The following is a 14,073-nucleotide window of genomic DNA, read 5'->3' as shown; positions in this document are numbered from 1 at the left end:
TATCTGTGAAGCGTAATAAGTGAAGTGCAATAAAATGAGGTGTGCCTGGACATTCCTACAGTATGTAGCAGCAGCCCTAACCCCTCATGATAATCAGGCAATCAGGTTCAGTCACCTCTGCCAGGGTAATCGCTCCCCACTAAGTATGTGAGCTAGGAGTAGCCAGGCACGATCGCTAGGTATGGAGAATTCTGTGGGTCAAGGTAGATGCTCTCTATACATCCTTTCATCTTTAACTCCCACTGCCAACTCAGTGGTCATCTCCATATTTTCCCACTTAAATTCCTGAAAATTGGCATTTGATAAACTCATCCTGATGTCCAGGTCGCTGGCTTGTCCATGGACTGGCCAGCCTTAGGCAGAGGCCCACTTGCTCATTTTATATTTTTATTAAATTAAATTTATTATTATTATTATTATTATTATTATTATTATTATTATTATTATTATTTTTGAGACAGAGTCTCCCTTTGTCGCCCAGGCTGGAGTGCAGTGGTGTGATCTTGGCTCACTGCAACCTCCGCCTCCCAGGTTCAAGTGATTCTCCTGCCTCAGCCTCCCGAGTAGCTGGGATTACAGGCATGTGCCACCACGCCCAGCTAATTTTTGTATTTTTAGTAGAGATGGGGTTTCATCGTGTTGGTCAGGCTGGTCGTGATCCACCGACTTCAGCCTCCCAAAGTGCTGGGATTACAGGCGTGAGCCACTGGGCCTGGCCTTTATAAATTTGTCTTTTTAACCCATTTTTTTCTGAGACGGAGTCTTGCTCTGTCACCCAGGCTGGAGTGCAGTGGTGGAATCTCGGCTCACTGCAAGCTCCGCCTCCTGGGTTCAAGCTATTCTCTTGCCTCAGCCTCCTGAGTAGCTGGGATTACGCATGTACCACTATGCCCAGCTAATTTTGTATTTTTAGTAGAGACGGGGTTTCGCCATGTTGGCCAGGCTGGTCTTGAACTCCTGACCTCAGGTGATCCGCCTGCCTCGGCCTCCCAAAGAGCTGGGATTATAGGTGTGAGCCACTGCGCCAGGCCTCGCTTGCTAATTTTAATCAGCTGAGGTCAAAGGGGTTGGAGGTCACAAGACACAATTTCTGGGGACTAGGGCTGCCTCATCAGCAGGGGTTTGCCTGCTTAAAAAGGGCTATAGGTAGTATTTAAGTATGGGATAAAAAACACAAAGTAAAAAACAAAACAAAAAAAAAGGGCTATAGGTGTGGCTGGCACAATGTTAGATGTATTTGGTAAGGGGGCTACAGTTCTATGTGGCAGCCTTTTGTCACAAGCTTCTTTCCAGTCACTGGGTCAGTTTATAAGGCGCTTACAGCCTGCTGAGTCCAGTTTCCCAATTTGTAAAATAAGCAGGCTGGGCTCTCTAAGATCCCTTCAAGTGTAAAATAATAACTGCCTTTCTCCTCAAACTTTGTTACATAAACAATTGTTAACCCAGGACTCCCTCCATCCTATGCTTATGCAATTTATTTTTTGAATTCCAAATTTCATTTTTCAATAAATGCTTGCTGTATTATCTTTTTTTTATTTTAATTTTGATTCATTTATTTTTTGAGGGAGGGTTTCACTGCTGCCCAGGCCAGAGTGCAGTGGCACAAACATGGCTGACAGCAGCCTCGCCCTCCTGGGCTCAAACAATCCTCCCCACTCAGCCTCCCAAGAAGCTGAGACCATAAGCATGTGCCATCACACCTGCCTAATTTTTAAATTTTTTGTAGAGATGGAGTCTCGCTGTGTTGGCCAGTCTGGTCTCGAATTCCTAGGCCCAAGTGATCCTCCCACCTCAGCTTCCCAAAGTCTTGGGATTATAGGCATGAGCCATTGTGCCTGACTTTGCTGTTATTATTATTATTATTATTATTATTTTTTTTGAGACAGAGTCTCGCTCTGTCACCCAGGCTGGAGTGCAGTGGCACCACCTTGGCTCACTGCAACCTCTGCCTCCCGGGTTTAAGCGATTCTTTTGCTTCAGCCTCCTGGGTAGCTGGGACTACAGGTGTGCGCCGCCATGCCCGGCTAATTTTTGTATTATTAGTAGAGACGGGGTTTCACCATATTGGCCAGGCTGGTCTCGAAATTCTGACCTTGTGATCTGTGCACCTTGGCTTCCCAAGGGATAACAGGCGTGAGCCATCGTGCCTGGCCTGCTGTTATTATTTTTATGACATTTCATTCTGTGGTTTGGAGCCATCATTTTGCCTTGTTGCAAGGCTTGAATCTTGAGTTGGCCTTTTGATGTATTTGCTTTTCAGCTCTGTGCCATTAAGCACAGAGAACGTGCTTTCTGTGTCACCATTTGAGGCAGGACCAAGGAGAGGCCTGGGGCAAGTCACCGAAGACCTATCTGTACTCTTTGGCTTCAGTGATCAAAGAAATCCAAGTCTCCCTCATGGTGCAATCAGGTGGCCCATTTTTCTCCCTCCTGACTCTGAAGCCTTTGTGACAGATTTTAAAGAGGCGTTTGTAAAGTCCACACCTAGTGTGTCTCCAGCAATCATACTCTTGATTGAGGTCAGACTATCTTGTATTTTACAGATGGAAAACTGTCACTTGCCCAAAGTCACATACTGTGGCAAGGCTGGTCTCTTTAACCAGAGTCTCCCTATTCTTTCTATTACATCATGCTTCCTCCACAGTTCACGAAACTCTTGCTGCTCTAATAAATTACACACTTGGTGGCTTAAACAATACAAATTTATTGTCTTACAGTTGTGGAGATCAGGTCGACACAGGTCTCACTGGGCTAAAGTCAAGGTGTCTGCAGGGCTGGTTCCTTTCTGGATGCTGAAGGGGAAAATCTGCTTCCTTGCCTTTTCCAGCTCTCAGAGGCTTCTTGCATTCCTTGGCTCAAGGTCCTCTTCCTGCACCTTCAAAATCAGGACCTATGGGTTGAGTGTTTCTCCTGTGGCGTCTCTCTGGCCCTCCTTCCCTCACCGAATCTCTTTCTTCCCATGATGGGAAAGGTTCTCCCTTTCAAGGACTCATGTGATCAGAGTGTGCCTACCAAGATAAAACAGGATAATCTCTCTATCTAAAGGACCTTGATTAACATAGCCACATCTACATTTTGTCAGGTAAAGTGACATAGTCACAGGTTCTGGGGATTCGGGTGTGAACATTTTTGGGAGGCCATTATTCTGGCTACCACACCCTGTCAGTAAACTAGGGCTTCCCGGAGGCCAGTGGGTTAAAGTAATGAAGACAGATATAGCCTGACTTTCAGAGTCTTAGGAGATGCTCCCGATGTCCTGACATAGACTGTATCAATGACACAAAGTTGATCAGGTGAGCCCCCTTCCACATGGCAAATTCTATCTGATGCCCTCATGGTTGGGCCCCCTCCTCTTGTCAACCGTAAACACCCATTCCCTGTAATGAGTAGTGGGGAGGCCAGGAGAGGGCAAAACATGGGTGTTAGTGTCTGCCCTCCAGGCTCTCAGATGATGATAGTATGGTTCTGGAAAAGCTGAAATGTACAGCACTGACCCCTCACCTCTTAAAAGTTCCCTGATATTTGGGCAGTAGAGGTACAGCTTGGAGTTACAGGTATCTTTTCTGATGTCCAGCCTCTAAATGTAATGTGAATGTCAAAACTGTAAAGACCCCAAGTGACACACGTGGGGAAGGGGAAGGATCCTACTCTCTTACCCTGTTCACAAAGGAAGGCTACAAGCTGGTCTAAGACAGAAGCGAATGCGGCCTGTGATGAAAAGATATGTAACCATCACCAAAAGAGCTAAAGAGGAGAAAAATATAGAACAAGCCTGGTTAAGACATTCAAGATATTGCGGTGTGCAGTTCCATCTGGGGATCCCCTTCTTTTTTTTATTTTTTTTTATTTTTGGAGACAGAGTCTCACTCTGTGGCCCAGGATGGGCACAATCTCGGCTCACTGCAACCTCTGCCTCCCGGGTTCAAGCAATTCTCAGCCTCCCTAGTAGCTGGAATTACAGGCACATGCCACCATTCTCAGCTAATTTTGTATTTTTAATACAGATGGGATTTCACCATGTTTGCCAGGCTAGTCTCAAATTCCTGACCTCAGGTGATCCGCCCACCTCAGCCTCCCAAAGTGCTGGGATTACAGGTGTGAGCCACCATGCCGGCCAGGAGATCCCCTTCTTAAGCCTCTCTACAGGTCAAGTTAGGCAGCAAGCCCATGTATTCCATTTTTTTTTTTTTTTTTGGAGATGGAGCTTTGCTCTTGTTGCCTAGGCTGGAGTGCAATGGTGTGATCTTGGCTCACTGCAACCTCCACCTCCTGGGTTCAAGCGATTCTCCTGCCTCAGCCTCCTGAGTAGCTGGGACTACAGGTTCGAGCCACCACACCAGGCTAATTTTTTTGTATTTTGTAGTAGAGACGGGGTTTCACTATGTTGGCCACAGACACCTTTTTGAGTGCAGACTAGAAGCTTGGTTTTGGCATTTTACCTGGCATCTACATCATGTTCACCTGTGTATTGGATCTGAAAACTGGGACATTCTACAGTTTGTGGAACTCCTGCAAATGTTCCTGCAATTGATTTACTCACACACTGCCCACACCCACCCCCTGTACACCACAGGTTCAAGTATTTGACTCTTCCCACCCCACCCACCCCTGCCACCAGCTGCTCTATACCCTCCCACTCACTCTCAGGGCCCCTGAGGTCCCCAGGGAGTCACCACCACATACCACTCTCTGTATCTGGGGGAAGGTCTAGGTTGTTGGAAACTTTAATCAAGCAAGGACAGTTAACAGCTGCAGAGGCACCTTAGGAAACAGTGAGCTTCAAAAAGGAAATACTTGTAGGATCTCTTGTGATGACCTTTGACGACTTTTCTGAAAATGACCCGTCATTCTCTGCCATGGAAAATAACAGTGATCACAGGCAGCCTTCAGCCCACAGAAGGCTTCCTCCTCCAGGCAGGCTCTGACATAGCCGCTCACCTCACAGATGCCCTAACAGACTGCAAAGTCCTGGGAACATGCATATCCATGCACACACATGCACACGTGCCTCTCTACAAGTACATTTTTGAGGTCACAGCTTTGCCTCAGTGGCCACTTCCTCTAGGGCTGGCTGGGCGGAGCTATTGGCAGAGCTCTAGGGTCCCTGGCAGTGTCCTGCCACACACCACCAATCATCCGAGCTGTTGGCATGTGGTGAGGACCTTTTCCCCCTTCCTTTTTCCTCCCCACAGCTGCAGGAGGGGGATTCTGCGGGGCGGATGTCACTTTGCTAGGGGCGGGTTCTTCCCACCCCCACACTACATCTTGTTCTAGCTCCTTCCTATCCCGGATGTAGGCCATTTTGGGGTTCCTAGTAGGGGTCACATCCCGGTAAAAGAACATTAGGGAGCACCTTTGGGCACCCCTGCTCAGCAGCCCCCTTTCCCCCAACTGGTTCCCTCTCTCCTCCATCAGCCAGGCCCCCACCACCTATGAGGGCCTCGCGGTCCCTGGGTCCTCCGCCACAAATGCCCCCTTTTTCCTTGGGGCTGGGTGGGAAGGGACAGCTTTGGGACTTTTTAAAGAAAGAACTTTGCTAGGAAAGTAAGAGACGAACCAAAACCAAACCAAGAAAATGTCAAGACCTCCGCTGGTCCGGAATCTGCGCTCGGCCTCTGGCTCTGTTCTGCTCCTCTGCCTTGACTTCACCTAGGAAGCTGCAGCCTTCTTAAGCCCTCTGCAACTCCCTTGCTCACCTGCTCCCTGGCTCCCCATGAGGGTGCATGGGGGGCAGTGCTGCCACTTGCCTTTCCAGAGGTGCTGCAGCCATGGCTCTTCCTTACCTTCACCTCTGGCCCAGGCCTGTTCCTGAACCCCCAGTTACTGGAACCCCCAGGATGATGAGAAGCGAGGGATGCAAACCAGGAACCCCCAGTCTCATGGGGAGAACGGAGCCTCACCCTGGAGCTGGGGAGATCGTCTGGGTCAGTGCAGCTCCAGCTACACATCATAAGCCCCAGTGGACAAGGCAGCCAGGAGGAGGGTGGGGCAGATCAGGGCAGATAACCAGAAGGACCGAGTTTGGGGCCCAGCATGGCCCATATGGGTTTAAGATGCATGGAGAGGAAGCACAGGGAGGACATGGGGACAGGCCCATCCCCTACCCCTGTGTTCTGGACCTCAGCGTCCCCTCCGTGGCCCCTCTGGCCCTGGCCCAGGGATGCCTTCTGCTTCATTGAGCCCATCTGTTTGAGACTTGCTAACACCTTCCTCTTTTGTGACTGGAAGTCACAGGGCCAATTGCTAAGCCGTGCAGTCACAGAGGGAACACAGAGCCTAGTTGTAAACGGACAGAGACGAGAGGGGCAAGGGAGGACAGTGGATGACAGGGAAGACGAGTGGGGGCAGAGCTGCTCAGGACCATGGCTGAGGCCATCACCTATGCAGATCTGAGGTTTGTGAAGGCTCCCCTGAAGAAGAGCATCTCCAGCCGGTTAGGACAGGGTAAGGGGGATGAGGCCTCCCCTTGATCCTGCATCCCCACTTCCCGCCCCACAGATCCCATTCCCAAATCCCACCTTGGTCCCTTTTCTCTTCTCTCTAGACCCAGGGGCTGATGATGATGGGGAAATCACCTACGAGAATGTTCAAGTGCCCGCAGTCCTAGGGGTGCCCTCAAGCTTGGCTTCTTCTGTACTAGGGGACAAAGCAGGTCTGGAGAGCCTGGGGGATGTGTGTTTGTTGGGGGGCTGTGTCTTGAGCTGGGGAGTCCACAATGTTTTTGTTGTTGTTCTTGAGACAGGGTCTTGTTCTGTCACTCAGGCTGGAGTGCAGTGGTGTGATCATGGCTCACTGCAGCCTCGACCTCCTGGGCTCAAGTGATCCTCCTGCCCTGGCCTCCCAAAGTGTTGGGATTGCAGGCGTGCGCCCCCATGCCATGGCCCTCAGTATTCTTGAGAGCACAATACCCTGGGGAAAGGAGGAGGGCGGTTCTTAGGAAACAGAAGAATAGGAACAGGATAAATGGGAGCCAGGGGAGGAAGAAAGATTCCTCCCGCAAGGTGGAGACCCCTTTCGGGGAGATAAGGGCTGCGGAGGGATAGGGCAGCCCTGTGGGGGATGAGTTCTAATGGGAAACGGGGAGCCATGGGAGGGAAAAGAGGTGATGGGAGATGGATGAGAGCAAAGGGGGAGAGGGTTTGGAGCCGACAGATAAGGGGCCTCTGAGGAAACGATAAAGGGAGAACTAGGAGAGATGAGGGGGTCCCGGGAAAAGATACAGTGAGACCCAGGAGGAAGCCGAGAGAGTCCCGGGCAGAGGAGGAACTCAGGAGAGTGACACTGTGTCCCAGAGCAGCTCTAGCAGGCAACGTAGGGCAGACTGGAGTTTCCCAGTGGCGAGGGCGAAGCGGGTGCGCAGGAGGAGAAGGGGCAACACTCGGGGCTTCCGGTCTCACACTGGATGCTCCCCTCGACAGCGGTCAAGTCGGAGCAGCCAACTGCGTCCTGGAGAGCCGTGACGTCACCAGCTGTCGGGCGGATTCTCCCCTGTGAGTGTGCCTGTGCGGGGCAGCCGCGGGGCCAAGTGCTCGCGCCTGTCCCGGCTGCGGATGGCGCTGGGCCCCGCGGGGTGCAGCTCCTTCCGGGATAAACCCGGGCGCAGTCCTTCCGACGCCCGGGCTGCCGTGCCACATTCACCTTCATCCGGTGCGCCTGAATCCGACGTGCACCGCCCCCCTGCGGATGGTCCCAATTCACCTACCTGCCCCCCTTCCCCTCTCTCCGTCTGATATTTCCTTCCCCTTCTCCCAGGTAACGCCCCCGAGTCCCCACCAGCACTGATTCTGGAACACCCTCTCCCCTACCTGCGAAACACCCCGCTACCCGACAGAAACCACCATGCTTGCCCCCTCAGCTCTGCACCGCCCTCCTCTTAGGGATGCCTTCCCCAGGGGTCTCCCCCACGGACCTGTCCCTTCCTCTCTACATTCTTTACGGGGGCTGACTGCCCTCATCCATCCCACTGTCCCCCTAAGGCCGCACAACCTGCCTGCGATACCTCCTGCTCGGCCTGCTCCTCACCTGCCTGCTGTTAGGAGTGACCGCCATCTGCCTGGGAGTGCGCTGTGAGTAAGGCTGTCCCTACTTCCCACTTACACCGAACGACTTTCGTCCCGACTCTCGCCCCAAAGCTGATCTTCCTCAGCAGGGATCATAGTCACTACCACCACCTCCTTAGCTTTGGGTTTGGTTTCCAGCCAGGGCTGTTGTCTTCCTGAATTGTCCTCACCTAATCCAGTACCTCCTTACGCTTTAGTCAGTCAAATCTTGTATTTCAGCCTGTGATGCAAAAAGTTGCAAGAAGCAGAAAAAGGGCTGATGCTGCAGTCTCAGGGCACTAGGGCAGGGCTGGAGAAGACATCCACCAAATCTCTGTGGCCAAACAGATCTGCAGGTGTCTCAGCAGCTCCAGCAGACGAACAGGGTTCTGGAAGTCACTAACAGCAGCCTGAGGCAGCAGCTCCGCCTCAAGATAACGCAGCTGGGACAGAGTGCAGAGGATCTGCAGGGGTCCAGGAGAGAGCTGGCGCAGAGTCAGGAAGCACTACAGGTGGAACAGAGGGCTCATCAGGCGGCCGAAGGGCAGCTACAGGCCTGCCAGGCAGACAGACAGAAGACGAAGGAGACCTTGCAAAGTGAGGAGCAACAGAGGAGGGCCTTGGAGCAGAAGCTGAGCAACATGGAGAACAGACTGAAGCCCTTCTTCACATGCGGCTCAGCAGGTATCCGCTCTGGGGAGAGGAGAGAAGGGAGGGATGGATTGGAGCAAGGAGATAGTAGTGGCAGGAGTCTATCACCCAGGGGCCTGTGAGGTGTTCAGGAAAGGGGCAGTGAACCAGAGTGGTGGCTGACATGAGCTGTTCAGCCTTGGCCAACAGAGAGAAGGACCAAGCTGCATACTAGATTTAGGGGGACCCACCCAGCTCCAAGGCTCATCCTGTAGGGGAGAGGAGGATGGCAGCCAGCAGTCCAAATCACACTGTCCAAGGTTTCTTCCGGTTGATATCAGTGACAAGGATCTGGGAACGCCCCCAAATTTGGATGTGAACTTGGCGGTTTGCACATCTTTCTAAAGACAGGGACCTCATTTTTAATTAATTTTCGTTATAGCTGAGATCTCCCCAAAGGGTAAGACTTACTGGCTGACATGGAGTGCAACCTGGTGGTGGGGCAAGGCAGTGAGGCGCTCAGCACTCACAGTGAGGTGGAGCTGGGAGTTGTGGTGTAGGGAACTAGGATGGGGTGTCCATTCATTTTGAAAGCAGGACCCCAGCCAGTAAGTGGAGATGGGGAAAGGGACACATAAAAGAGGCAAGGCTGTATCAAAACAGGCTGAGGGTCTAGGCAAGGTGCCACGCCTAAGGGGACTGGGGTGTTTTTGGGCTATGATCAGGTTTAGGCTCTGTCTAGCTTGGGGGTCATCTGGGTGATCTCCCCAGGCATAAGACAGCAAGATTATGTGCAGACACCCCTTGCCCTCATTTCCTTAACCTTACCCTCTGTGACCATCAGTTCCATGCCAGGGCTGCTCTTAGCAGCATGTTAGACCTCTACCTCCCAAATTGCTCTTCCGGCGAAAGGATGGTTTCAGACTTCCACTCTGATCACAGCTGCCCACCACTCCTGCAGGTTTTCCCCACACTTTTTTGATCTCATCAAGGCCTCCAATCTGCTGACTCCCCTTTTTCTCCCTTCCCATCAGTCCAGGCCTCCAATCAACTGATTCCCCTTTTTCTCTCTTCCCATCAGCTTCTCCTGTCCACACTTCTCTCCCTACCTAACATGGGTTTGGAGCCCATCACTTCAACTACTCACTTATTTTTTTAAATAGAGACAAGGTCTCACTATGTTTCCCTGGCCGGTATCGAACTCCTGGACTCAAGCGATCCTCCTGCCTCAGCCTCCCAAAGTGCTGAGATTACAGTCGTGAGCCACCGCACCTGGCTCACTCACTTCTTTGTTCCATTATCCTTCTAGTGTACCTGATGGGCAAAATTTGAACTCTGGATGAACCCAACTGCCCATGGTCAGCATCAAGGTGTGACAAATTGTGGAATCATTCTGCTCAGTGCCACTGAGACTCTAGTCTCTCAGCACTGCCTGGCAACCTTTGCAATGGTCAGCTTGCTCTCCATAGTAACTCCTTCTCCCTCACTTTCAGCAGATGTCCTCATCTTCCACTCTTTCAGAGAGGAATTCCCTTCACTTTCCATCACCAAGTCTATATATCCATATGGATTTTTGCCCATCCTCATCTTTTGCAAGGATATCTGCAACAGCTTTCTAAATGTTTTTCCTACTCACTCCTCTCCCTGCAGTCCATTCTTCATATTGGAGCCAGGGTAATCTTTTACAAACAAAAATCTGATCGTGTCACCCAATCTACAGCATTCCAGTTAATTGATTACATAAACAGTTATGGAATACATAACATATAATATGTTCTAGCACTGTGCCCAGGCACTTGGGATATAGCTAGTGAACAAAATTCCTCTATGTAAAACCCTACACTGACTTTCTCTTCCTCATAATATAAAAATAAAAATCCTTAACATGGCTTCCATCACTCCTGCCTACCTTTCAGTGTGCCACTTATCTCCTCACCCTCTTCCATTTGGCCATACAGATTTCTTTTTTTTTTTTTTTGAGGCGGAGTCTCGCTCTGTGAGACTGAAGTGCACTCCCAGGCTGGAGTGCAGTGGTGTGATCTGGGCTCACTGCAACCTCTGCCTCCTGGATTCAAGCTATCCTTTTGCCTCAGCCTCCCGAGTAACTGGGATTATAGGCATGCGCCATGGTGCCTGGGTATTTTTTGGTATTTTTAGTAGAGGTGGGGTTTCACCATGTTGACCAGGCTGGTCTTAAACTCCTGACTTCAGGTGATCCACCCCGCCTCGGCCTCCCAAAGTGCTGGGATTACAGAAGTGAGCCATTGTGCCCAGCAGGGATTTCTTTTTATTCCTTTAAGTTGCCATAGGACAGTAGCTCAAGGGAGTAGCAGGGTGGGGACATGAGCATATGTAGAGAGAAGAGAGGGAGCTAGTGGAGAGGGAATGATTTTTGAGTGATGAAGGTAGGACTGATGGAACAAAGCAATGGAGAGAGGTGGCCTGGGATCAGAAGTGCACATTGGGATGTAGGATGTTGAAGAAAGAGGGATATTTATTTCTTATGGATAGTCAGGAAAAGAAGAACAGAGAAGAGAAATTTTGAGGTGGAGAGGAGGGAAAAGGAGAGAGCTCAGTTTCTGCAAAACAGTACACAACATTTTCTGCTTGTAGGAAATTGGAGAGGGACGGAGGGGGCCAGTGCTGGAGGAGTGGAGGATGTGCAGTGAGGGGTGCTTTAGGGAGTGGAGGAGATGGGCCCAAGAGATGTTAGGTAAAGTGTCAGGGTGGACTGCAATTGTTCAGAAATTGGGGTAATAAAATCAGCCCTATTAAGACAGACCTCCCAGATTGCTAAGAAGTAATGTTGTTGAATGTTAAAGTCTTTTTACTAAGTAAGGACAGGTATGGTGTTTCCAGGGGATGCAAAAGAAAGATTGCAAAGATCATAGAAGTCCATGAAGGTGCTGAGATTAGCTCTGGGGGAATATTGTTAGCAAAAGATTGCTGAGTAGTCACTTTCATCCCAACTGTTGCTGCTATCACACTCTTTCTGCTTTTTAGACACCTGCTGTCCGTCGGGATGGATAATGCATCAGAAAAGCTGCTTTTACATCTCACTTACTTCAAAAAATTGGCAGGAGAGCCAAAAACAATGTGAAACTCTGTCTTCCAAGCTGGCCACATTCAGTGAAATTTATCCACAATCAGTAAGCATATCCTTACTCACAGACTGCAGTGGGTACTATTAGGTAAAGGGACATATGTCATCAAGTCAGGAATGGCAGTGCACACATGGCTGGGGTGGCCATTCCTTTTCCATGGAAGAAACTGAGAATCATAATACTCTTGACCTCTGAGCTTGGAAACAACCTCTGCATCTTCTCAGCACAGTGGTCCAGGCAGCCCCTAGTAACTGATTAGAGTTGGCATGAGAATGGAAACTTAACCATATCTACATTTTTTTTTTTTTGAGACAGAGTCTCACTCTGTCACCCAGGCTGGAGTGCACTTGCATAATCTCAGCTCACTGCAACCTCCGCCTCCTGGGTTCATGCAATTCTCCCGTCTCAGCCTCCTGAGTAGCTGGGACTACAGTCACATGCCACCACGCCCAGCTAATTTTTGTATTTTTAATAGAGTCGGGGTTTCACCATATTGGTCAGGCTGGTCTCTAACTCCTGGCCTCAGGTGATCCACCTGCTTCAGTCTCCCAAAGTGCTGGGATTATAGGTGTGAACCACTGCGCCCGGCCTCTACTTTAATGTGTATCTCATCTCAGCTTGCTGGTCAGCTCCCTGGGCTGCTTGACAGGTTCCTGGACTCTTGTGGCCTCTCAGGCAGAGAGGTCCCACACCTGGTGGGCTGGATTGTAGGGATTAGTTCCTTGGGGCCAGAACAGCACACAGAATGACTCCCCTCCAAAGGCTGGCAGAGATTCTTACTCAGCTGGAAGGCAAATTTAGCAGTGAGCCTGCATCTGCAGGGTGGCACTTGATGGATTCAGGGACAAGTTACCAAAGAGCTGTCATATATACAGCCCCCTTGCCAAAGCTGAGGCCTCCCTAGGGTGTGCATTTTCTTCCATATTTCTCATCACTCTCCATGTATCTCTGGTCTCTCTGAATCTCCCCTCAGCACTCTTACTACTTCTTAAATTCACTGTTGCCAAATGGTGGTTCAGGGAATTCATATTGGACTGGCCTCAGCTCTAACAAGGATTGGAAGTTGACTGATGATACACAACGCACTAGGTAAGTTTGTTAGGACTTCTGGGTATTTTCAACTCCATAATCCCCTCCATAAAGACATGGTAATCAGATTTCCTTCCCACCTGGTCCCCTCAGGACTCTCCCATAAATCAACACTGTAATTGCCTATTTGTCTGTTTCCTCTATTTGATTAATAACTTCTTAGGGCAATCTTATTCTCCATTCTATTTCCACCTAGAAGTCCCTGGCACATACTTTTTTGTTTCAGTAACTACTAGGTTGGGACCTACGCTATCTTTTAGGGGGAGACATTAAGGATTTAGTTAAGGCTCCACAGCTGATGACAGCAGCGTTTCTCCATCCTTCGAGAAGGCCACCCAAACTGAGGTTGTACTTTCTCAGTAGCGGCCACTTGGGGCACTAGAGCTGCCTCAGTGAAGTACGCAAGGGAGCAGCGGGGGTACCATCGAAGCTCCACTTCACTGTGATCAAGACAGCAGTGGGGTACCATTGAGGATCAACCCTAGGGACCCTGAAACAGGGTGGCAACCTCCTTATGTTCCTCAATTGGCCTTCCCATCTTTTTTTTTTTTTTGAGATGGAGTCTCGCTCTGTCGCCCAGACTGGAGTGCAGTGGTGCAATCTCAGCTCACTGCAAGCTCCGCCTCAGGGGTTCACACCATTCTCCTGCCTCAGCCTCCCCAGCAGCTGGGACTACAGGCGCACACCGCCATGCCCGGCTAATTTTTTGTATTTTTAGTAGAGACGGGGTTTCACCGTGTTAGTCAGGATGGTCTCGATGTCCTGACCTTGTGATCCACCCGCCTTGGCCTCCCAAAGTGCTGGGATTGCAGGCATGAGCCACCGTGCCCAGCCTGGCCTTCCCATCTTTAAGATCTCGAGTTATTTTTCCCTCTGCTGGTTCTAAAGTCTGTTTTAGTTGAACTCCAGACATCTGTCCTGAACCATGCCCAGATGTGGCCTTAGGCAGGCAGGGTGAGTTAGGATTTAGGTTTTATACAGGGGAAGGGGAGAGAAGGGAGGGTGGGATATGTCCAGAGCATATCCCAGCTCTACCTTACTACTTTTTAGGACTTATGCTCAAAGCTCAAAATGTAACAAGGTACATAAAACTTGGTCATGGTGGACACTGGAGTCAGAGTCATGTAGAAGTTCTCTTCCCTACATCTGTGAGATGACAGCTTTCAGGTTTCCAGATTAGGACAGTCCTTTGCACTGAGTTGGTAAGAGTG

At 50.2% G+C, this 14,073-nt stretch overlaps 1 protein-coding gene and 1 long non-coding RNA gene across 7 annotated transcripts in view, besides 2 other annotated features; one reads left to right on the top strand and one right to left on the bottom strand.

Moving 5' to 3' along the window:
• The window catches only part of CD72 (CD72 molecule), a 36,876-nt gene that overhangs the window by 22,192 nt on the left and 611 nt on the right, over positions 1-14,073 (top strand). The window contains exons 2-9 of one of the 6 annotated variants that reach the window (XM_047424156.1): positions 5,801-5,924; positions 6,545-6,652; positions 7,419-7,490; positions 7,977-8,066; positions 8,388-8,723; positions 11,673-11,818; positions 12,747-12,862; positions 13,913-14,059. In XM_047424156.1, coding sequence (XP_047280112.1) covers positions 5,855-5,924; positions 6,545-6,652; positions 7,419-7,490; positions 7,977-8,066; positions 8,388-8,723; positions 11,673-11,818; positions 12,747-12,862; positions 13,913-14,042 — 1,068 coding nt within the window. In that variant the 5' untranslated portion in view covers positions 5,801-5,854 and the 3' untranslated portion in view covers positions 14,043-14,059. Of the gene's footprint in view, positions 1-5,120; positions 5,155-5,800; positions 5,925-6,252; positions 6,445-6,544; positions 6,653-7,418; positions 7,491-7,976; positions 8,067-8,279; positions 8,724-11,672; positions 11,819-12,746; positions 12,863-13,912; positions 14,065-14,073 lie in introns of those variants that run through there. The other 5 variants (XM_047424155.1, NM_001782.3, XM_047424154.1 and 2 more) reach the window with 5 other exon arrangements.
• LOC124902148 (uncharacterized) lies at positions 2,685-3,745 on the bottom strand. The gene is made up of 2 exons (XR_007061470.1): positions 3,657-3,745; positions 2,685-3,008 (listed from the first exon to the last, which is right to left on the bottom strand). It is a non-coding gene; the product is annotated as an uncharacterized LOC124902148 (long non-coding RNA).
• Positions 7,249-7,398: an enhancer, noted in NCBI's record as "active region_28327". NCBI's record gives its function as "activates an Ori minimal core promoter by ATAC-STARR-seq in GM12878 lymphoblastoid cells {active_cell/tissue: GM12878}" and the evidence as "EXISTENCE:reporter gene assay evidence [ECO:0000049][PMID:35858748]".
• Positions 7,838-8,689: an enhancer, noted in NCBI's record as "H3K4me1 hESC enhancer chr9:35615974-35616825 (GRCh37/hg19 assembly coordinates)". NCBI's record gives its function as "activates a minimal SCP1, AML or CMV promoter by ChIP-STARR-seq in primed H9 embryonic stem cells {active_cell/tissue: H9 hESC(primed)}" and the evidence as "EXISTENCE:reporter gene assay evidence [ECO:0000049][PMID:30033119]".

This window comes from Homo sapiens, chromosome 9, assembly GCF_000001405.40.
Source record: "Homo sapiens chromosome 9, GRCh38.p14 Primary Assembly".
NCBI lineage: Eukaryota > Metazoa > Chordata > Mammalia > Primates > Hominidae > Homo > Homo sapiens.
The sequence above is the reverse complement of the archived record's forward strand: the minus strand, read 5'-3'. Positions and strand labels throughout refer to the sequence as shown.